This window comes from Homo sapiens, chromosome 4 (assembly GCF_000001405.40).
Source record: "Homo sapiens chromosome 4, GRCh38.p14 Primary Assembly".
Classification (NCBI taxonomy): domain Eukaryota; kingdom Metazoa; phylum Chordata; class Mammalia; order Primates; family Hominidae; genus Homo; species Homo sapiens.
In genome coordinates, this window is record NC_000004.12 from 54,749,359 (window position 1) to 54,774,787 (window position 25,429).

General features: G+C 38.8%; 1 long non-coding RNA gene across 5 annotated transcripts in view; it reads left to right on the forward strand.

Annotated features, from left to right (window-relative positions):
- Positions 1-6,766: 6,766 nt before the first annotated feature.
- The window catches only part of LOC105377657 (uncharacterized), a 62,560-nt gene continuing 43,897 nt past the window's right edge, over positions 6,767-25,429 (forward strand). For 3 of the 5 annotated variants that reach the window (XR_941055.3, XR_941057.3, XR_941053.3), the window contains exon 1: positions 8,041-8,171. This is a non-coding gene — a long non-coding RNA (uncharacterized LOC105377657). Of the gene's footprint in view, positions 7,551-8,040; positions 8,172-25,429 lie in introns of those variants that run through there. The other 2 variants (XR_941056.3, XR_941054.3) reach the window with 2 other exon arrangements.

Here is a 25,429-nt window from a genome sequence, read left to right on the forward strand (position 1 = left end):
TTGTCACGTTGGCTATTGGCAGTCTAAGATCTTATCATTTTTGGTCCACTTCTGCCAAATGTAGAGGATGGCATACATTTGTTTGTTTGGACTAAAAGCTAAGTCAGGGGGAAGTATGTGATATACTATTTTGGTCAGTTTAGCAAATAAAGATAATTTATATAAGAGGGCCTAGTGCAGTGCCAGTTGAGGCACATGTACTCATTAAAGGTTAGTTAAATCTCAAAATATAATATGCTTTGGTAAGTAAGAATGAACTGAGAAAGTAAAAGGAATATTAGTGTGCCTGGACAGATTTTTATTGAATGTATTTTAAAAGTAAGATTATTAGCTTTTTGTAGATGTCTAAAGGAAATTGGAAGAAAAGGAGTTATTTTCCCATCAAACACATACTTCTACAGATTGGCTGCCTATGATTAAAATAGAGCCAAACCACACCAGGGTTGCTTTAGACATTCACCCTTCAGATAACAATAGGTTATCACTTTCATTTTGAACTGCTCTCCAATGAATGCAACCCCCCTCCTCCCAAGAATGTCAATCAATCCTTGCTCCAGTTTGGGCTGATTGGTAAAGTATTAGCCTGCTCTTAACCACACAAAAATAGCTGCACTCCAGGTACTTGTCAGGCAGTATAAGCTCCAACTCCCTGGCATTCAGAATCCATCAAAAGCCTGGTTGATAGAAACAATACTTATGCACAATTGTCTAAAGAATAATCAGTTCATCTGCCCTCTGTTTTGAAATTCAAGTTCTATTCATGAACTTAAGAAAGCTGTGTGTATGGATTGGGTTATATTGTACCATAACCCCAGAAATGCTTTTGCCAAATTATGCTTTGGGTTTAATCCATCAGCTTCCACCGCAAATTAAAGAAATTGTTAAAAAAAGAACATTATTATGATTAATGTTTATTGTTTGGAGTCCAGAAGAGTTGAGTTTTCATTCCACCTCTGCCATCTATTAGCCATAAGACTTTAAGGCTAATATACAGAATTTAAAAGGAACAAAAACAACAACAACAACAAATAATCCCATTCACAAATGGGCAAAGGACATTTTTCAAAACAAAACAAGTTAAATGGACAAGAATATGAAAAAATGTTCAATATCACTAGTTATCAGAGAAATGCAAATTAAAACCACAATGAGACATCATCTTATACTAATCAGAATGACTATTATAAAAATGACAAAAAATAACAGATGTCAGTGAGGATGTGGAGAAAAGGGAACTCATACACTGTTGGTGGAAATGTAAATTAGTACAACCTCTATGGAAAACAGTATGGAGATTTCTCAAAGAACTAAAAATAGAACTTTCACTCTATCCAGCAATCCCACTACTGGGTATCCAATCAAAGAAAAAGAAATCAGGCCAGGCATGGTGGCTAATGCCCATAATTCCAGCATTTTGGGATGCTGAGGCATGTGAATTTCTTGAGTTCAGGAGTTCAAGACCAGCCTGGGCAACATGGTGAGACCCCCGTCTCTACAAAACATTCAAAAATTAGCCACATGGTGGCTCTCACCTGTGGTCCCAACTACTTGGGAGGCTGAGGTGGGACGATCACTTGAGCCCGGGAGACGGAGGTTGCAGTGAGCTGAGATCATGCCACTGCACCTCAACCTGGGCTGAATGAGACCCTGTTTCAAAAAAAGAAAAAGAGATTACATCAAAAGATACCTGTACTCATATGATTATCTCATCACTATTCACAATAGCAAAGATAAGTAATCAATCTAAGTGTCCATCAGTAGAAGACTGGATAAAGAAAACGTGGTATATATACACAATGGAATACTATTCTGCCATTAAAAAAAATAAAATCACATGTTTCGTAACAACGTGGATGGAACTGGAGGCCATTATCTTAAGTGAAACAGCTCAGACACAGAAAGACGAATACCACCATGTTCTCACCTATAAGTGGGAGCTAAATAATGCATACACATGGAAGCAGATTGTGAAATGATAGACAATGAAGACTTGGAGGGGTTGGGGTGTGAGGGGGTGGATAGTAGGAGGTTGCTCTGGTGGGTACAATATGCATTGCTCCAGTGTTGGATGCACTGAAGGTCCTAACTTCACTGCAATGCAACACATCAATGTAGCAAATTGCACCTGTACTCCATGCATATATACAAATAAAAAAATTTTAATGAGGAAAATACTATTTAAAAGTCTAGAATAAATATATAATCAAAATGCTTCAAAAATTGTGTAATTTCACACTCCAATTTAAATAAACTGAAATTCAAAATCATAGCTGATGTATTGTGGATGTGATTTATATAAGAAAAATGGCACCATAATTCAAATCAGAGGACTTTTAATCAAAGAAAGGGCATTGAAAGATTGGGGAATGAATGTATGTTCATAGAATTAATTTACATAAAAGGTTTAAGGTATTACTGAGTGGTTTTTTTTTTTTTTGGCTTTTGTTTTTGTTTTCAATCGGCCAGTGAATTACTAGACCCATATAATTTCTATTGTATTATTTTCACTAACAGCACTTTTAAGACTCATGAAAGAAATCGCATGAAACAGAATGTTTTGGCTTAATGGATTTTGTGAATCAAATAATGTTTTTTTCTCTTTGTAGTTACTCCTAGAAAGCTTGGAGCCAAATGAGTGATTTACCCCTTGCAAATGGAGACCATTTGATGATACTCATTTTGTATTAATCTTGTGCCTGGCTCCTTGTTTCCTCCCTCATTTCATTTCCCTTTATTTGTTTTAAAGATTTATGTTATTTTATGTAACTGTATGTATCATTCAAGATACAGATACCAAACCTGCGACCTTTCTATCTCAAGCAGAGAGGGATTTAGTGTAGAATTAGGTGCTTAATCAGGGGCTGGAATGGTGGGCTCTAGGCTGGTTCTCCAAGAATATCTTCTTGAAAAACACAGCTAAACTAACCATAAGGGCTGCTGCTGCCTCTGGCATAGCCAGGATATGGAAATTGGGAGGCCACCACTGGAATCATTGATCTCAAAAGCTCACCTCGTAGCTGTATCCCAAAGGTGAGGAAACTACTGTTGCTAAGATTGCTGCCTCTGCCTTCTCATGCCCATAAAACTAGGAGCTAGACAACGTAATACAGAAAAACACCATTTCCTATGCCCGTCTTTCCCAACAGCAGCAGCTGAAGCAGGAGGGAAACGATCGTCTCCACTTCACTTCCTCCTGCTACACCTCAGATAAGTACTGCTGACGGGTGGAATCGAATTCACAGCAAGAATCCTAGCTTCAAGAGAGTCCAGGAAATATTTCTCATCAAGTACTCTGCAGCACTGCAACCAAACTAGAAGAAGGCTGCAATGAACGCTAAGAGCCAATCCAACTGTAAGTATTTTTGTGAGTCGCCATAAATCCTTTCCGGTCTAAGGTAGGGTGGGCAGGGATATAATTAGCAAAATGCTCCCAATCCCTTCACCTTTTAAAAAATAAAAGTAGCATATCCTCTCGTTATGTTATATCCAACATACCTATTTTTTCCCTCACACAAATATTAACAGTAACACTTGGAGGAAAGAGGAGACTGGAAATTAATAAACTAGAGCTGAGTACTGATTCTACTGGCCTTGGGACATGAAACAAGACTGAGACCCAGTTATCTCACTAACACAATGAGAATAACAGTAACACCTTCCCTAACTACCTCACATTATATTGTAGGTATAAGGATCTCTTTATTTTTGCCTTTAAGAGACATGTGACATTTATGTTTCTAAATCACATTTTGTCTGCTGTACACCCCTTGTCCTACCAAGCTGGCAAGAGATTTAATCTAAGTCAGAATTGGGCTCCCTTTCTTCCCCAGAGATGTGTGGAAAGGCACTGGGACTTACACAGTAAGAGAGGAGAGATGGTTCTTTGCCTTTGGTCGGTAGTGGTCAATGTAAGATCCTCATTTAAAAGTCATGCATGGTCCCTTGAAACCAGGCATTTCTGTTGCTCCTGTACCAGCTGGGGAGCCAGGTCTTTGGTGCCAGATATACATTGATAAATGAGGCATAGACAGCATCCTTAAGAAGCAGATGGGCTCCTGGGAGATAGAGATCATAAATATATAATTTATTACAATGGGATCAGGGGTAGGTATACAGAATGCCTTAAAAACATAGAGAAGAGAACTATTAGTTTTGTCTGGGGAGTCGGAAGAGACTTTATGGTGCCTGTCATATAGTAGCTACTCAATAAACCTGGGACCTGGCTCTTCTTTGCTTTTCGGAGTATTCCTACCAGAGTATTGTGGTGTTGCAATGCATGAGCCCCACTTACTTGCTGCATTGCAAAACTCCTATTTCCTTGCGAGTCTCAGGAAATTTCCCCAAATATCCCTTACCCTCTCTGAGAAAACCTAGCATAATGCATTTTATAAGCCCAGGTTTTAAAAAATGAAGGCCACAAAAAGGAACGGGTGTTGTCTTCTGGCAACTTCTGTCTGCCACACAAATTAATCTCTCAACAAATTATACTGCCACATCTGAAAGAGTTCTCAGACGTGTCAAGTGTTATATAAATGCATAGAACATAACTCAAGGCTTTGCTGTTTGTCTAATCTAGTACGAGGCTGGTCCTAACAAGTAGCAGCATTTTGGCTGCAAGATTCAGAGAATGCCCTGAAAATTGTACAGATTAGAAAATATGCAGCATTATTTTAATTGTTACTTTTAGAAGATCAGAAAGAAAGGAAGCAGACAGTCAAAATGAAAGAAAACCTTCTTCAGTTCTGTCTAATCCCACCAATATCCTGCCAAGCAGCTGAGGGGCTTTGCACAGGTCATTTAAGGTTTGTGGGAGCTGGATTTGTCATCTTTGAAATGAGATGGCCGTGATATAGCAATGGTTTTCAACATATTCAGTGGGCATGAGGATGGGAGTGGATAGGTCTCTAACCTTATTTTAACTAGAGCTGCCTGACATTTATCTGGTTTATAGATTAGGTTAGAAGAACCCAATCTTGCACTCAAAGCAAGAAAAGGTTTTGAAAACCACTAGACAGATTGATCTCTGGGGTCTATGCTTCTGTGAATGCAGGTGAATCTTCTGAGAACAGGTGGTGCATGCTATCCCATCGAGGTTCTCTATTAGATGCCAGAAAATGATGGCTGCAGCCCCAGCCATGGGCTCAGAACCCAAAAATGTTGTAACAGGACTAACCCTCCTGGGATGTGCATAGCTCCTTGGGAAATAGGAGTTGATGGTGCAATGCCTCCTACCCTGGCTTTGCCAATCCCTCACCCTTGTTTTCTTTTTTAATTTTTTTTCCCCGTAATCTTGCCTTGGGGTGCACATGTTTGAGGTAAATGAATCAGGACACAGGCAGACAGTCTTACACTTCTCTTTTGGCTGCCTTCATGGCTGATCTGTCATTTTCCATACTAGTCAAATGAAGCCCACAATTCTAGAATCTAAGCCACTAGCTCCAAAGTCACAGCAGATAACATAAATTATTTAACCACCACAGTCTTCCATCCAAAAAAACATTTTCTGCATACCTGCTCTGTGTGAGGCACAAGAGTAGGTGGCAGACATACATTGATAAAGAAGGCATAGACAGCGTCCTTAAGAAATATATGGGCTCCTGGGAGATAGAGGTCATAAATATATAATTTATTGCAATGGGATCAGGGGTAGGTATACACAATGCCTTAAAAGCCTAGAGAAGGGAACAATTACTTTTGTCTGGGGGGTCGGAAGAGACTTTATGGTGCCTGTCATATAGTAGCTACTCAATAAATATTTATCAATGAGAAGATGTTTGAGGTGATAGACTTTGAAGTTAGACTGTGTGGAATTGGGTCCCAGCTTCATCACTTTATCAGCTGTGTAACTTTGGGCAAGATATTTAAGTTTTCTGTGTCTCAGTTTTCCTATCTGAAAAAAATGGGGTAAATTGTACTGGGGTCAACAGTTGTGAGGATTAAGAGTTAATGTAGATAAGGTACTAAAACAGTGTCTGGCATATGGTAAATGCACTGCATAGGCTTGCGGCTTACTGTGGGCATTGAACTGGAGTTTGCAGGGTACAGAAAAGAAGGACAGATAGTGCCTGGGATCCAGATTAAAAACAGAATTTTTCAATAACTCAGTGAGGAAACTTGCTGTGAGTGGAATTAAAGAAAAGGGGTGGGGCTTGGGGGGCGATGCGGGAGCCCCAGCTCCCTGTACTTGTCCTCCCTTCTTCTCTGCCTCTGGCCTCCTGTCATCTTCCTTCTCTATCTCTGATTTTTTTGTAACGTTTTGTTCTCCTTTCTTTCCTTCTCCTTTTTTTGACCCCAATTCCCTTTTCCTTCCTCCGTCTTTCTTCTACTCTCTGCTTCCTCCTCCCCTTTCCTCTATCTCTCTTCAGCCTCCTGAGACCTGCTCTTTGCATCCTCTGTTTCCTCTTTTTTTTTTTTTTTTTTTTTTTTTTTCGAGACGGAGTCTTGCTCTGTCGCCCAGGCTGGAGTGCAGTGGCGCGATCTCGGCTCACTGCAAGCTCCGCTTCCCGGGTTCACGCTAGTCTCCTGCGGAGTAGCTGGGACTACAGGCGCCCGCCACCATGCCCGGCTAATTTTTTTGTATTTTTAGTAGAGACGGGGTTTCACTGTGTTAGCCAAAATGGTCTCGATCTCCTGACCTCGTGATCCGCCCGCCTCGGCCTCACACAGTGCTGGGATTACAGGCGTGAGTCACCGCGCCCGGCCTCCTCCCCTTTTTAATTTCCCTGTATCCCTGTTCTTCCTCCCCCTGCCTACTCAACCAAGCTGGCTCTACAGATACTTCTCCAAGGCCTGAAAAACCAGACCTTCTTCTTCTCTCTGCCCCACTGCCCCTGGCAAGAAGCATAGTAATAGGCTTAGGACAGACCAGAACAGATAAGTAAATCTTTTTTGTTATTGTTGCTTCTCCGAGAATGATACCAGTGTTTGCCCCTTTGTTCCAACACAGCCAGGGCTCTCTTTATGACATGTGTAGCTTGGGGTGATCGTGGCTTTTGGTCTTCTAACTTCTCACTGTCAAACATTCTAACAGTTTTCAGGGTTTAAATGGCAGTCATTGATATGAACAGAACCACCCCTGCTGACACCCTGTAGGGGATAAAGCCGGAATCTTCAGAAGGAAAAAATCATGAGTTTTCTACACTCAGAAATTAATGCTCAGGCATGAAGAGTAAGCCTGGAGCTGGGGCAGAAGGCCTTTGAGAAGTCTGGCCTGGGCATCTCCTGAGAGGGGCTTTCATTCTTTTCTTTTTTTCATTCTACAAATGATTCCTGCACATCGACTGCATTCAAGGGGATGCAACGTTGACAAGACAGACAAGGTCCTTGCCCTCCTGGGATGACTTCTAAGGGGGCAGGTAGACCATAACAAGTCAAAACATGAATAAGTTACATTTACATAATAGCGCTATAGTTACTTTGAAATTACTGGTGCTATAAAGAAATTAAGACAGTTATTAACACAGGGATTTTTATGGGGAAAGAATTTGCTTCAAATCACATAGTGAAGTCCTCCCCGAAGAGGAGCTGTTTGAGCTGGTTCTTCAATAATAGTAAGAAGCCACAGAAAGACCTGGGGAGGGGAATTCCAGCAGCCAGAAGGGCAAGTGCCAAAGACTGGAGATGGGAAGAATTTAGAGGAAAAAGACCCCAACAGGTGGAGAGTAGGGACTGAGTGGGAAGGGTGGTATGTGATGAAGCTGGGGAAGGAGGCAGTGACCAGTATATACAAGCCCTTCTAAGTCGTGTGTGTAAGTCCATTTTGTAAGTGACAGAGACTGAATGGCTGATTATATTAGAAAAGTAATTTGTTGAAAGGAGCTTAGGTGTCCCTCAGGATTGCCAGGGAAAGATATGGAAAAGAGATCAGATCACAGGCAGTAGCTGGGCACTTGCAACACCAGTGTTGTACTACCACCCTTGTCATCACTAGACAGCAGCCTTGTTGCCTCTTCCCAACACCTGGATGGAGTGGTGGGAAGATTAACATTCGAATGTTAATCTCATTCAAAAACACCTTTGCAGACACACCCAGGATAAATGATTAACCAAATATCTGGGCACCCATGGCTCAGTCAAGTTGACATGTGAAATTAACCATCACAATGAGCAAGTGCAGCTAATTGGCTGAGTGGTCATGAGCCTATTCCTTCAGAATGTGAAAGCCTGGGAAAGTGAGTATATAAAGTATTCTTGAGTGAAAAGCAAAGTCCACCACCCAAAACTCAAAAGGTGGGGAATTTCCCAAGGGTAGAAAGTGGATTAGGATTCTGGATAACCTAGGAAATGACAAATGTCCACTTTAACTTAGCAAGAGTTATCTTTTTATTTAAGTGCAATGGGAATTCATTGGAGGACTTTAAACAGGAAGTGATATAATCAAACTTATATTTTTAAAAGGTCACCCTGGTTACAAGGTAGAGAGTAAATTATAAGGGGGCAAGAGTGAAGTCAGGACTGTCCTGCAAGAGATAATGTTGAGAGATGATGTTGACTTGACCAGCATGTCTGCAGTGAAGGGGGTAAGAAATGGTTAGATTCAGGTTTATTGGAGGTAAAGTGAACAAGACTTCCTGATGATTTAAATATAAGGGATTAGGGAATGGGGCTAATCAAGGGTGACTCTAGTTTTCCACTTAAAAGATTTGCTGGATGGTGATGCAAGCTACTGGGATGGGATGGGGAGAAAGAGGAAGATGGGGTGAAAGAGGAAGGGAAAAATCAAGAGTTCACTATTGACATGTTAATTTTGACATGGATGAGGTTCCTATTAGTTATCGAAGTAGTGATATAAAGTACATATATAGATGTTATAGGCTTGACTCGGGAGAGAAGTCAAGGTCAGAGATAGAAAATGGCAGGATGGGCTTTAGAGCCAGACAGCTTTGCTTTGACTTTTGCTTCTGCAAATTACTAGCTGCATAAACTGGAGCAAGTTGCATAATGTCTTTGAGTTACAGTGTCCTCAACTGTAAAACAGGAGCATATTAGTTTTATCAGGCTACTGTAACAAAGTACCACAAATTAGGTAGCTTAAAACAAAAGAAATGTATGTTCTCACAGATCCGGGGGCCAGAAGTCCAAAATCAAGTTGTCAGCAAGGCCAGCCACCCTCTGAAGATTCTAGAGAAAAACTCCTTCCTGGCAATCATTGGCATTTCTTGGCCTGACGCTCCAGTCTCTGATTCTGACATCAAAGGACATTCTCTTCTCCCTTTTCTGTTTGTTTTTGTGTGTCTGTGTTCAGTCTCCTTTCTTTTATAAATATACTAGTCACTGGGTTAGGGGCAACCCCAATTCAGTATGACCTACCTCACCTTAACTTCATTACAGCTGCAAAGATCCTATTTTCCAAATAAGGTCACGTTCAGGACTTCAACATATCTTTGGTGGGACACAATTCAACCCACAAGAAGGGATATCTATTTTAAGTGCCTGCTACCAGTTAATTGCTCAATAAATGCGTGCACTTATTCTTAAAAAATTTTTTTTTGTTTCCATAGGTTATTGAGGAACAGGTAGTATTTGGTTACATGAGTAAGTTCCTTCGTGGTGATTTGTGAGATTTAGAGCAGACATCACCAGAGCAGTATGCACTGCACCCTATTTGTAGTCTTTTATCTCTCACCCCCTTCCCACCCTTTTCTTCTGAGTCCCCAAAGGCCATTCTTATGCCTTTGCATCCTCATAGCTTAGCTCCCACTTATGACTGAGAACATACAATGTTTGGTTTTCCTTTTCTCAGTTGCTTCACTTAGAATAATAGTCTCCAATCTCATCCAGGTCGCTGAAAATGCCATTAATTTATTCCTTTTAATGGCTGAGTGGTATTCCATCATATATATATATATTTTATATATATATATTTTATATATATATATATATATATATATAATCATATGTATATAACTGTGGGCATTTGGGTTGGTTCCATGTTTTCACAATTATAAATTTTGCTGCTTTCGTATAATGACTTCTTTCCCTCTGGGTAGATACCAGTAGTGGAATTGCTGGATCAAATGATAGTTCTACTTTTAGTTCTTTAAGTAATCTCTACACTATTTTCCATAGCAGTTGTACTAGTTTACATTCCCACCAGCAGTGTAGAAGTATTCCCTCTTCACCACATCCACGCAAACATCTACTATTTTTTTATTATGGCCATTCTTGCAGGAGTAAGGTGGTATCGCTTTGTGGTTTTGATTTGCATTTGCCTGATCATTAGTGACGTTGAGCATTTTTTCATATGTTTGTTGGCCATTTGTATATCTTCTTTTGAGAATTGTCTATTCATGCCCTTAGCCCACTTTTTGATAGGATTGTTAGTTTTTTTTCTTGTGGATTTTTTTTTATTTCATGTAGACTCTGGATATTAGTCCTTTGTCAGATGTATAGATTGTGAAGATTTTCTCCCACTCTGTGGGTTGTCTGTTTACTCTGCTGATTGTTCCTTTTGCCATGGAAAAGCTGTTAAGTTTAATTAAGTTCCAGCAATTTATCTTTGTTTTTATTTCATTTGCTTTTGGGTTCTTGGTCACGAATCCTTGCCTAAGCCAATGTCTAGAAGGATTTTTCCAATGTTATCTTTTAGAATTTTTATAGTTTCAGGTCTTAGATTTAAGGCCTTAATCCATTTCGAGTTGATTTTTGTATAAGGCGAGAGATGAGGATCCAGTTTCACTCTCCTACATGTGGCTAGCCGATTATCCCAGCACCATTTGTTGACTAGGGTGTTCTTTCCCCACTTTATGTTTTTGTTTGCTTTGTTGAAGATTAGTTGGCTGTAAGTATTTGGGCTTATTTCTGGGTTCTCTATTCTCTTCCATTGGTCTATGTGCCTATTTTTATACCAGTACCATGCTGTTTTGGTGACTATGGCCTTATAGTATAGTTTGAAGTCAGGTAATGTGATGCCTCCAGATTTGCTCTTTTTTCTTAGTGTTGCTTTGGCTGTAAGGGCTCTTTTTTGGTTCCATATGAATTTTAGAACTGTTTTTCCCAATACGTGAAGAATGATGGTGGTATTTTGATGGGAATTGTGTTGAATTTATAGACTGCTTTAGGCAGTATGGTCATTTTCGCAGTATTGATTCTACTCATCCGTAAGCCTGGTATGTATTCCATTTGTTTGTGTCATCTATGATTTCTTTCAGCAGTGTTTTGTAGTTTTCCTTGTAGAGCTCTTTCACCTCCTTGGTTAGGTATATTCCTAAGTATTTTATGGTTTTTTTTTGTTTTTTTTTTTTTTTGTAGCTACTGTAAAAGGGGTTGAGTTCTTGATTTGATTCTCCACTTTGTTGCTGTTAGTGTATAGAAGAGCTACTGATTTGTGTACATTAATTTAGTATCCAGAAATTTTGCTGTATTCTTTTATCATAGGCTCTAGGAGCTTTCTGGAGGAGTCTTTAGGGTTTTCTAGGTAAATGATCATATCATCAGCAAACAACAACAGTCTGACTTCCTCTTTACTGATTTGGATGCCCTTTATTTCTTTCTCTTGTCTGATTGCTTTGGCTAGGACTTCCAGTATCACGTTGAAGAGGAGTGGTGAGAGTGGGCATCCTTGTCTTGTTCCAGTTCTCAGAGAGAATGCTTTCAACTTTTCCCCATTCAGTATTATGTTGGCTCTGGGATTGTCCTAGATGGTTTTTATTATATTGAGATATGTCCCTTGTATGCCAATTTTGGTGATAGTTTTAATCATCATAAAGTGATGCAGGATTTTTGTCAAATGCTTTTCTGCACCTATTGAGATGATCATGTGATTTTTGTTTTAAATTCTGTTTATGTGGTGTATCACATTTATTGACTTGCATATGTTAAATCATCCCTGCATCCCTGGTGTGCAACCTTCTTCATCATGGTGAATTATCTTTTTGATATATTGTTGGTCAGTTAGCTAGTATTTTGTTAAGAATTTTAGCATCTCTTTTCATCAGGGATATTGGTCTGTAGTTTTCTTTTTTGGTTATACCCTTTTCTGGTTTGGATATTAGGGTGATACTGGCTTCATAGAATGATTTAGGGAGAGTTCCCTGTTTCTCTATCTTGTGGAATAGTGTCAATGGGATTGGTGCCATTTCTTCTTTGACTGTCTGGTAGAATTCTGCTGTGAATTCATCTGGTCCTGGACTTTTTTTTTGTTGGTAATTTTTAAATTACCGTTTCAATCTCACTGCTTGTATTGATCTGTTCAGGGTATCTAATTCTTCCTGATTTAAGCTAGGAGTGTTGTATCTTTCCAGGAATTTATCCATCTCTTCTAGGTTTTCTAGCTTATGTGGGTAAAGGTGTTCATAGTAGCCTTGAGTGATCTTTTGTATTTCAGTGGTGTCAGTTGTAATATTTCCTGTTTTGTTTCTTATGGAGCTTATTAGGATTTTCTCTCTTCTTTTCTTGGTTAATCTTGCTAATGGTCTGTCAGTTTTATTTATCTTTTCAAAGAATCAGCTTTTTATTTCACTTATGTTTTGTATTTTTTTTTGTTTGTTTCAATTTCATTTAGTTCTGCTCTGACCTTGGTTACTTCCTTTTTTCTGCTGTGTTTGCATTTGATTTGTTCTTGTTTCTCTAGTTCCTTCAGGTGTGACCTTAGATTGTCTGTTTGTGCTCTTTCAGACTTTTTGATGTAGGCATTTAGGGCTGTGGGCTTTTCTGTTAACATGCCTTTTCTGTGTCCCAGAGGTTTTGATATATTGTGTCACTATTGTTGAATTTTAGAATTTCTATCTTGATTTCATTGTTGACCCAATGATCATTCAGGAGCAGGTTATTTAATTTCCATGTATTTGCATAGCTTTGGAGGTTCCTTTTGGAGTTGATTTCCAGTTTTATTCCACTGTGGTCTGAAAGAGTACTTGTTATAATTTCAGTTTTCTTAAATTTATTGAGGCTCATTTTGTGGTCTATCATATGGTCTATCTTGGAGAATCTTCCATGTGCTATTGAATAGAATGTATATCCTGCAGTTGTTGGATGGAATGTTCCGTATATATCTGTTAAGTCCATTTGTTCCAGGGTATAGTTTAAATCCATTGTTTCTTTGTTGACTTTCTGTCTTGATGACCTGTCGAGTGCTGTCAGTGGAGTATTAAAGTCCATTTCTTAGGTCTGTTAGTAATTGCTTTATAAACTTAGGAGCTCCAGTGTTAGGTGCATTTATGTTTAGGATTGCGATATTTTCCTGTTGCACAAGGCCTTTTATCATTATATAATGTCCCTCTTTGTATTTTTTAACTGCTGTTGCTTTAAAGTATGTTTTGTCTGATATAAGAATAGCCACTCCTGATCGCTTTTGGTTTCCATTTGCATGAAATGCCTTTTTCCACCCCTTTACCTTAAGTTTGTGGGAGTCCTTATGTGTTAGGTGAGTCTATTGAAGACAGCAGATGGTTGGTTGGTGCGTTCTTATCCATTCTGCAATTCTGTATCTTTTAAGTGGAGCGTTTAGGCAATTCACATTCAATGTTAGAGATGTGAGGTACCATTCCATTCATCATTATATTTATTGCCTGTATACCTTGGTTTTCTGTTTTTTGTTATTGTTTTTTAAATTGTATTTTTGTTTTATAGGTTTTGTGAGATTTATGCTTTAACGAGGTTATGTTTTGATGTGTTTCCAGGATTTGTTTCAAGATTTAGAGCTCCTTCTAGCAGTTCTTATAGTGGTTACTTGGTAGTGGCTTCTTTCAGCATGTGTTTGTCTGAAAAAGACTGTATCTTTCCTTTACATATGAAGCTTAGTTTTGCTGGATACAAAATTCTTGGCTGATAATTGTTTGATTTGAGGAGGCTGAAGATAGGGCCCCAATCCCTTCTAGCTTGTAGGGTTTCTGCTGAGAAATCTGCTGTTAACCTGATAGGTTTTCCTTTATATAGGTTACCTGGTGCTGTTGTCTCACAGCTTTGAAGATTCTTTCTTTCGTCTTAACTTTAGATAACCCAATGACAATGTGCCTAGGGGATGATCTTTTGGCAGTGAATTTCCCAAATGTTCTTTGTGCTTCTTGTATTTGAATGTCAAGGTCTCTAGCAAGGCTGGAGAAGTTTTCTTCAATTATTCCCCCAGATATGTTTTCTAAACTTTTAGATTTCTCTTCTTCCTCAGGAACACCAATTATTCTTAGGTTTGGCCATTTAACATAATCCCAGACTTCTTGGAGGCTTTGTTCATATCTTCTTATTCTTTTTTTCTTTGTCTTTGTTAGATTGGGTTAATTTGAAGACTTTACCTTCGAGCTCTGCATTTCTTTCTTCTCCCTATTCAATTCTATTGCTGAGATCTTCCAGAGCATTTTGCATTTCTATAAGTGTGTCCATTGTTTCCTGAAGTTTTGGTTGTTTTTTTATTTATGGTATCTACTTCCTTGAATATTTCTCCCTTTACTTCTTGTATCATTTTTTAAATTTCCTTACATTGGGCTTCACACTTCTCTGGTGCCTCCCTGATTGATTAGCTTAATTAGTAACCTCCTGAATTCTTTTTGTTTTTTCAGATGTAGTTTCGCTCTTCTTGCCCAACCTGGAGTGCAATTCTGTGATCTCAGCTTGCTGAAACCTCCACCTCCTGGGTTCAAGTGATTCTCTTGCCTCAGCCTCCCGAGTAGCTGGGATTACAGGCGCGTGCCACCACGCTCGGCTAATTTTTGGTATTTGTGGTAGAAACAGGGTTTCACCGTGTTAGCTAGGCTGGTCTTGAACCCTTGACCTAAGGTGATCCACCCACCTCAGCCTCCCAAAGTGCTGGGATTACAGGCATGAACCACTGCACCTGGCCTAACCTCCTGAATTCTTTTTCAAGTAAATCAGGGATTTCTTCTTGATTTGAATCCATTGTTGTTGAGCTAGTGTGGTTTTTTTGGTGGTGTTAAAGAACCTTGTTTTGTCATATTACCAGAATTGGTTTTCTGGTTTCTTCTCATTTGGGTAGGCTCTGTCAGAGGGAAGATCTTGGACTGAAGGCTGTTGTTCAGATTTTTTTGTCTTACAGGGTATTCCCTTGATGTAGTATTCTCCCCCTTTTCCTACGGATGTGGCCTCCCAAGAGCTGAGCTGTAGTGATTGTTATCTCTCTTCTGGATCTACCCACCCAGCAAGTCTACCAGGCTCTGGGCTGGTACTGGGGCTTGTCTGCACAGAATCCTGTGATGTGAACCGTCTGTGGGTATCTCAGCCATGGATACCAGTAACTGTTCTGGTGGAGGTGGCAGGGGGCTTGAAATGGACTCTGTTAGGGTTCTTAGCTTTGGTGGTTTAATGCATTATTTCTGTGCTGGTTGGCCTCCTGCCAGGTGGTGGCACTTTCCAGAGAATATCAGCTGTGGTAGTATGGGCAGGAACAGGTGGGGGGGCAGGGCCTAGAAATCCCAAGAGTATATGCCCTTTGTCTTCAGTTACCAGGGTGGGTAGGGAGGGACTAGTGGGTGGGGGCAGGGCTAGGCGTGTCTGAGCTCAGACTCTCCTTGGGCAGGTCTTGTCGCAGCTGAGTATTTGGGGTGTCTCCAGGGTCCTGCAGGAGCAATCCACTTCCTTCAGGTGGTCTGTGGGTCCTCTCAGGTTTCCCGATTTATTCCTGCAGTCCTTCCGGAGCAAAAATTCATAATGCAAGCCTCCACACGCTGCTCTGTCCGTCGGAGTGGGAGCTGCAATCTAGTCCTGCCTCCCGACTGCCATGATCCCCTCGTGCACTTACTCTTTTTGTCCTTTTTGGTATGGATTCCACAGGAAGCTGTTATGATAAGATTGTGCTGAATATATTAGTAGAGGGCAACAACAACAATAAATAAAATACATGCTTCCTTAGCATGGTAATTCTGGATCATTAAGAGTTAGGAAGACAGAACTCTCAGAGCTTTATTGTCTTTGTATACAGTGGTCATTTGGAGTCTATTGAATTGTATTAGAATTCAGTCAATAAGCATTCATAAAATAAACATTGTTTGAATTATAGTGTTTTTATTTGCCTTTTTATGTTCCCTTTAGGAGTTCAGGTAGCATATATTTTCACTACCTTCACTGCCTAAAACAGGGCCTGGCACATAGTAGGTGTTCAGTGATTGAACTGACAAATCATAAGAAAAACTATGCAAGCGTCACTGGCTTTATCTCTCCTCGAACTTAAGGAATATTACAAATGACTTGCAAATCTATGCTAATTCCATATGACAGGAGTCTGACAGGGTTGCTGGGGACATCCTTCTCATTAAATCTATCTATATGGCTGGGATTGGAGTACTTCTCAGTAACTAGGTAGAATGGTCTGTGCAGGCTTTTCATTCATTTATTCAATTTATCTGTAACACTTGCAAACTCAAAAACCATGTCAACTAGTCTCAGTGCAGTGAAGTTGTCCAATAAACCAGTGCAGTTTTTTAAAGTAATTTATTTGAAAATAACTTTCAACTTAGAGAAAATTTGCAAGAATAGGAATAGTACATAAAACACAACTAAGAGCCTTTACCCAGATTCACCTGTTTTTAATATTTGCCTTGTTTGCTTTCTATTTGTGCTTTCTCTCTCTCTCTATATATATACATATGTGTATATATATATATATATACACATATGTGTATATATATATATATACACATATGTGTATATATATATATACCCACAAATACACATGTACATATATATATACCCACACATACACATATATACATGTATGTATATAATATATTTTTCTAAAGCTTTTGAGAGTAAGTTGCATTCCTCCTGGTTCTTTATGCCTAAATATTTTAGTGTACATGTCATAAAAATACTACTCTGTTGTCCATTTAGGTAAATCCATCCAATAATACCTTTTATAATTTTATTCCTATGTGCAGGATCAAGCATGACATTTAGCTGCTATGTCTCTTTAGTCATCTTTGATCCAGAATGTTTCCACAGCCTTGCATGGCATAGACATTTTTAAAGAATATGATTGTCTTTCCCTTCTTTAGATTTTTTTCCTCATTTTTGGTTTGAGTGATGTTTCCCATGGTTAAATTCAGATTTTGATTTTAGACTGGACTGTTACATAACCAAAGTGATCTTCTCAAGACACACTTCTGAAGGCATAGGATGGCCATCTCTCCCACATTGGCAAAGCAATTTTTTAATAAACATTTTAATTGAAGCATAGTATATACACAGAAAATTGCACAAATAATAAATTGACAGCTCTGTTAGTTATCACAAAGTGATCACACTCATCAACTTATCAGCTCAACTGTCCTTATTAGTAGAGTTTTTTTAATAAGTCTGGATGTACGGTAAGGTAAGTTCTCTATATTTGAACTTCTTCAAAATTTTTTGGGGGGCTATTCTTGACCCTTTGTATTTCATATAAAATTAAAAATTGCCTCATTAATTTTTAACAAAATTGCCTGCTGGGATTTTGATTGGCATCACATTAAATCTGTAGATCACTTTGATGAGAATTGACATCTTTATAATATTAATCTGATTCATGAAAACTGGCCTAGCCTTCAATTGATTTAGGATTTTAAAATTTTTTTCAGGAACATTTTATACTTTTCAGCATATAGATCTTGAACAGCTTTTATTAGATTTAGTCTTAGGTATTTGACTGTTTTGATGCTATGGTAAATTATATTTTAAAGGTTTTATTTGTTTGTTGTGGCTGGTGTATTGAAATATAAATTATCTCTTGTTGCTCTTATACTCAGAAATCTTACAAATTAACTTATTATTTATAAAAATGTATATGTAGATTTCTTAGCTGTAGATACAAATCATGCCATCTGTAAATAAGGACAGCTTTATTTCTTGACTCTTAATCCATTTACCTTTCATTCTTTTTTACTACATTATTGCATTTTTTACATTATATTGGCTAGGACCTCTAGTATAATGTTCATCAGAAGTCATGATAGGGGCATCATTATCTTGTTCTTGATCTCCGTGTTCAGTAGAATTTTTGCGGATAGTCTTCACCAGATTAAGGGAGCACATTTCTATTTCTAGCTTGCTACAAATTTTTATCCTGTGTGGCTGTTAAATTTTGTAAAATGTTTTTTCTGTTTCTATTAAGATGATTATATGATTTCTTTCCCCTTTGTTCTAGAAAAGTGGTAAATCACAGCTACTGATTCTCAAATGTTAAATCAACTTTGCATTCTTGGAATAAACCCAGCTTAGTCCTGATGTATTTTCTTTCTTATATTCAATGTGCTAACACTCTTTTTGGAATTTTTGGAATTTTGCATCTCTGTGAGAGACTCTGGCCTGCATTGTAATGTGGTTGTTAGGATTTAGTGTCAAAGTATTATTGGTCTAATAAAATCAGTTGGGAACTGTTTCATTTTTTTCTTTTCTCAGGAAGAGTTTGTACAAGATTGATGTTTTTTCTTCCTTAAATAGCTTAAATATTTGGAAGAATTCACTGATGAAGCCATCTGGGTTTGAGTTTTCTTTGCAGGAAGGATTTTACTATAGGTTCAATTACTATAACAGATACATGGCTGTTTAGATTTTCTTTTTATTCAAGGATACATTTTGGTAGGTTTTGATTTTTCTATTTGCTTTTTTCTTATTTTTTTACTTTATTGGCAAAAATTGTTCATGATATTCTTTTATTATATTTTCAAAGTCTGTAAGATATAGAATGACATTCACCTTTTTATTCTTGATATCGGTTATTTTACTATTACTTCTTTTTCTTAATTAGGTTATCAAGAAGTTTATAACATTTTTTAGTCTTTTCAAAGAATAGCTTTGAATCCTTTGTATTGTACATGGCTTTTCTTTCATTAATTTATACTCTTATCTTTATTGTTTTCTTCCTTCTACTTTCTTTAGTTTTAATTTGCTCTTCTTTTTCTAATTAACCTTTTTATTCAATTTCTAAACATTTGAAGTTATTTTTATTATTGATCTCTAGCTTAATTCCTCAGTGGTCAGAGAATGTACTCCATATGATTTCAGTCCTCTGAAAATTTTGAGTTTTGCCCAGCATTTGGACTCTAAAGAAATGCTCCATATGCATTTGAAAAGTACATGTATTCTACAGTTGTGTGTGTGTGTGTGTGTGTGTGTGTGTGTGTGTGTGTGTGTAGGTCAATGTATCTATTTATACATTTATTTATATCTATTTATATTTATAAATTAGGTAAATGTTATTAGTAGTGTTGTTCGAGCCTCTTATGTCTGTATTAATATTTTGTCTGCTTATTTTATCAATAAGAGGAATGTGTTAAAATCTCCCACTTTGTTCATGAATTTTCCTGTTTCCTCTTTTAGGTGGGTCAGATCTCGCTTTATGTATTTTGAGAATTTGCTTTTACTTCTGCAGGCAGTTATGGGGATTGGATCATCCTGACCCAATGAGCTGACTTGAAGCTGGATCTTTGTAAGAGCTGGTCTGTTCCTATTCATCCTCCCTGCTTAATATTCCAAAATATAAGATTGTTCATACATGAACAATACTTCTTGCATATCTACTATATACTAGGTACTATAATAGGTGCTGAATCATCTGTGTTATTTTAAGGGTTATGAAGAGAAAACAACTGTCTCTGAGAAGGAATCACCACCACTAAGGTACTTCCTATTTTGTCTCCTAATTTCTCAAGGTTTACCACTTGAATCCATCCTACAGTCTACTGCCAGACTAATTTCTCAGAAGCCACTTTTTTACTTCATCACATATAAACTCAAAAACTTGCCTTTGTTTTCTAGTACCTGAAGAATAGAAGTAGAATGGAAGTCTTTTTCTAGTCAGCTGGGAGGATATATGAGGTGCTACCTTATATTTTACCAAGGGTCTTAATGACTTTCCTAGCCACATACTTGATCTGAATTTACCCTGAGGCCATTTTAACTGGTAGTGTCCTAGATTTGGTCTTTGCTTAAGAACATCTCTTAATTTAAGAACCTCTTTTCAGACTATAAAGACTGTTCTGAGCTTTCTATATTTCTTTAAATCCTGCGTGAGAATTAGACAGTTCTTTCTTTAGTTAATCTCTCTCTTCTTATATGTTATAGGCAGCTAGATAAAACAGACTGATACTTTTAACATTCTTTCTGGAAATTTCCTTAGCCATAACTAGTAATTAATTAAATATCTTTTCTGTTTTCTCAGTAGCTGTGGGAGACAGTTTTGGCAAACTTTCTGTAATTACATAACAAGGGTTGCCTCTTCTCCAGGCTCCAATAACATTTCCTTCATGTCTGTCCAGTGTTTACTGAAAGTATTCTCAAGGCCTTCTTAGCTTCTACCTGTCATTTGGCCCCACTGCCACATATTTTAGCTTTTTGTTATGGAAGCATCTTGCTGGCTGTAGCAATTTTTATTTTGATTTCTGTTGCTGCATAACAAACCACTCCACTAATCAGAGGCTTCAAACAATAGCAATGTATTATTTCTCATGTTTCTGTGGTTGAATGGCATTTTTTTTCCTGCTTTTTTTCATGGAGTTCAGCTGTGTCTCTAGTCACGTTGGGGGTTTGATGGACTGGAATCTCCAAAACTGGCTCATTCACCTTTTTGGTACCTTGGTGAGAATGGCAGGAAGATTGGGCTCAGCTGGGATGCTGGAATAGCTGGGCCATTCTCCCACTCTCCATCTAGTCCCAGAGCTATTCCCTCTCCACATGGTCTTCCCAGCAGGGTAGCTGACTTCTTTCATCTGGCTCACGTGCAAATGGCACTTTATTTGCCATGGCCCACAGATTCCCTATGAAGGCTTTTTTAGATCCCACTTCTCTTGGCCACCAGTGAAAGAAGCAACAGGCACACTGGAAAGAAAAATGCAGTCAGCTTTTCCAGCTTCTGCTTTGAGAATAATTCTATAGATATTTAAAGATTACTTGGGACATTCGTGGCTCCTCTCAGTTGCTGATATTTGAGACATTTTCTAAAAGTATTTCCACCTTCCCAAAAGTGAGTGAACAAGGTTGAAAAGAGAAGAGAAATGGGAATCTGTTTAAATGAATTTGTTTGCAACCCTAAGAAAAGGTTTGGCAAAGTGGATAAATTATAACTATTAACTAAATGATGCTTTGGTATTTTCTCTGCTTTAAAAATACCCTGTACTTATATAGGTCTTATTTTCTAACTGGCAAAGCAGTTTATCATTAGCTTTTTAACATCCCTAATAGGAGAGAGAAGGTATTTTCATCTTAATTCTGTAAGTCTGGTAGAAGAAGAAAAGCTAAATAACTTCCCTAACGTGATTGGGGTAGTAAAATCATTCATCTATCTAGTCATCAATTCATTTAAGAAAATCATCCATTTTTCCAATACACTTCAGGACCCCCCCTGCAGTTTCACTTTCTTCAGTTTCAGTGACTCATGGTCAACTGTGGTTCAAAAATAGGTGAGTATGGTACAATCAGATATTTTGAGACAGAGAGAGAAAGGAGAGAGACCGCATACACATAACTTTTATTACGGTATATTGTTACATTGTTCTGTTTACTATTGTTGTTATTAATATCTTACGGTGCCTAACTTATAAATTAACTTTACCATAGGTATGTATGTACAGGAAAAAACATAGTAGATAGAGGGTTGAGTACTATCTGTAGATTCAGGCATCCACTGGGGGGTTTTGGAATGTTATTTCATAAGGAGGAACTACTGTGTATTCATTGATTACTACTATTTACCAATTACCACTTTCAACATATATTTCGTGATTCCCCAGGTACTAAGTATACAGTAGTAAGAGACCATTCCTGAAGCTTATATTCTAGAGAATGAGCAGAAATTAATCAAATAGTCACTCATACTCAAATTGGATCATGACATGTAACACATAAAAGCAATCATGAATACATGTTTTAGAGATCTGTGATCTATCTCAGGGGTTCAGGAAAAGCTTTTCTGAGAAGTGCCATGGTGCGTCTCAGTAGATTGAATTCTAGAAGGATGTTCAGGCAGAAGGTAGGTTGTGTATAAGGCACTGAAGCAGGAAGGAGCTACATCTTTGGGAAGTGGAGTGGAAGCCAGTGTGGCTAGAGGTTAGCCAACACAGGCCAGTAAGTCTGGAGGAGGCTGAGAAGACCGAATGAGACCCCACATCTTAAGGGCTTTTGGAGGTCACACTAATAAGCCGTATGACTTTAGGTAACCTTTCTAAGCCTCAGTTTTCTTACAAGGGAGATAATTTTCAATATCTATATGGTTTAGCTTTGTGTCCCCATCCAAATCTCATCTTGAATTGAAATCCCCATGTGCTCGGGGAGGGAGCTGGTGGGAGGTGATTGGATCATGGAGGCAGATTTTCCCCCATGCTGTTCTCGTGATAGTGAGTGAGTTTTCATGAGATCTGATAGTTTAAAAGTGTTTGGCAGGTCCTCCCTCCATCCCACTCCCGCTGCCATGTAAGATGTGCCTTGCTTCCCCTTTGCCTTCTGCCATGATTGTAAGTTTCCTGAGGCCTCCCCAGCCATGCAGACCTGTGAGTCAACTAAACCTCTTTCCTTTATAAATCATCCAGTGTCAGGTTCTTTATAGCAGTGTGAAAACGAACGAATACAAATATGCTAAAACTCAAGCCCTGACTTTTCCTCTGAGCTCTAAGTCATCCAATGCCAATTTGATGTATTCATTTTGATACCAACAGGCATATTCAACTCATTTTCACAACAGAATTTCTGATTCCTGCAGCTCCATGCCCTGAAGCCTCCTCCTCATCTACCTTCCTTCATTTTAGTGAATGTCTCCATTCTTCCATTGCTCCAGTCAAAATCTCAGGAATCATCCTCCCGTTATCACTGTCCCTCATTTTCCATATGAAGTGAATCTTGTTGGCTCTGATGCCAAAATAGATCACAAATTCAACCATTTCCACCATCTGCACTATTGTCACTGTAATCTCAGCCTACATCTCTTCTCATCTGTATTACTGCAGTAGCCTAGCTGTCTCCCTGTATCTACTCTTGTTCTTTTATAATCCATTATCCACTCAGAAGCCAGAATGTGCTTTTTATAATGTAGATTTTCATGTCACCTCTCTATTTAAAATACTCCTGTAGTTTCTCACTACACTTAAAATGAAGTCCAAACTCCTTAGAATCACTGAAGATCCTTGGATGAGCGGTCTCTGCCTGTCTTTCTGATAGCCTCTTGTACCTCCGCACTCAATGTACTCCAGACATGCTGGCCTTCTGTTTGTTTCTCAAACATGGCAAGCTCACTGCTGATCTTTATGGTATCAGATCCTGCTCATCAACTGGTCTTCTGCCAAAAAACCACATTCTCAGAGAAGCTTCTCTGACCACCTATCCCCAGCCCTCTGGCTGGATAGTCACTCTCCCAATACCTCATTTGAGTTTCTCAATAGCAACTACCATTCTCTGAAATTATGTTTACTTATGTCTTGCTGCCCTCATTCCAACTTCCAAATATAAGCTCCGCAAGAGCAGGACCTTGTCAATCTGATCCTCCTTGCTTAGCAAAGTGGCATAGAGTTGCAGTGCAATTCAACTATTTGTTGGCTAAGTGAATGAATATGTGGATGAAACCACCTCACAGGGGTCCCATTCATCTCAAGAGTCAGAATCTGTTTGCCTGGACTGCATAATCTGGTTTCATGGATAAGACACGCTGAAAGCTGCCAGTTTTTGACTAGACAAGTATTTCATTAACGTAGACCATTTCAAGGCCCAAATCCATTTCAAGTTTTGAGGACCCAAGTCCATTGCCTTTAGTGCAATTCGGGGACTACTCTCAACATCATAATCTGTATCAGTAAACTCATCCAAATTCAGTTATTTCACCCTGCTGTGAGTTCCATAATAGTGGGTAACTTATTCCCATGATCAACTTAAAACAAACATAAAAGGACTCAGGAAAACCATCTGTCAGAGAAGCACATAAACTTTCAAGCAATGGTTTAAAACATCTATTGATTGCGCAATGGATGATTTGTAATTACAGAATACGCATTTGGTAAATAGGTCTTTGTGGCCCTTTGAACTCTTTTTATTGGGTTAACAGATAATTAGGGTCTGTTGTGTAGATGCTCCATAATTGCTCCTTTGGAGCAGTTAAAGTTTGCGGAATGGATCCCCAACTCTGCTATTTCTTTGTTGCATCCCTCCAGCTCCTAATAGAGCTAGTGAGAAGAGCTGGGAGAGGCTCACCCTGGTATTTAGGAGGCAGCTGTTTTGCATTCAAGGTAGATCTCAGAAGCAGCAACCTGGGTGGCAGGGAGGGCAGGAGAGAGAGTTGGTTCTATAATCCCAGAGGCTGTCCCAGCTGCCCCCGCCAGCCAGCCTTGGGCATAGTGTAAATTGCTGCTGCTTTCTCACCATGTGTGGACCACCAACCTGAGCTGTGTGAGCCTCAGCACTTTCTTCTCTGGGTAAGTCACATCTTTTTCAGATTTCAGTTCCAAGTATCTGTTCCCAGGCTGGTGCTGCATCAACACTACCTCTTTTCTCTTCTTTTCTTTATGACTCCTACTTTGAGAAGTAGTTTCAAATACTCATTATCAAGTTCTATTCATCTTTCAGACTCAAAAGGTTTAGAGGCTGGGCTCTGGAGCCTGATCCTGCTTGAGAGGCTGGGCTCTGGAGCCTGATCATTCTGGGTTTGAATTCAGGCTCTGGAATTTACTAGCTGTGTGACCTTAGGAAGGTTGCTTAACCCTTTCTGTAAACCAAGGAGAATAGTAGTAGTTGCCACCTTTTAGTGGACACTAGCTAGGTGCCAGGTACCATGCTATGTATTTTCATACATCTCTCTCTTTTAAAAAAATAAGAACTAATTTTTTTTTTTTTTTTTTTTTTTTTTTTTTTTGAGACGGAGTCCCGCTCTTTAGCCTAGGCCGGATTGCAGTGGCACAATCTCGGCTCACTGCAAGCTCCGCCTCCCAGGTTCACGCCATTCTCCTGCCTCAGCCTCCCGAGTAGCTGGGACTACAGGCGCCCGCCACTGCGCCCGGCTAATTTTTTGTATTTTTAGTAGAGACGGGGTTTCACCGTGTTAGCCAAGATGGTCTCGATCTCCTGACCTTGTGATCCGCCCGCCTCGGCCTCCCAAAGTGCTGGGATTACAGGCGTGAGCCACCGCGCCCAGCCAGAACTAATTTTTTTAAAAAAACTATTATCTATCTCCATTTTGAAGTTGACAAAAATGCCTTGGGAGTTAAACAACTTGCTCAAGGCTAGAAATCTTCTAAGTGGTAGAGACAGGGTTTAAGCTGAGGCCTAACTCATGTGCTTAACTGTTATGCTCTCCTCTCTCCTGACAGTATCCATTTCCTAGAGTTATTTTGATAATTTGATAAGATAACATTTGTAAAACACTTTAGCTCAGAGCTAAGTAAATGTTCACTAAACATGAGCTAATGTGATTGGTCTTCTCTTCTTGTGAAGCTTTCCTTTGCTCCGCCCTGACCAAATTAGTTGCCCCTTTCTCTGGCTTCTATCACATTTATACATTTTGTCCTCTGTAATATCTGAACTGTAACTACTT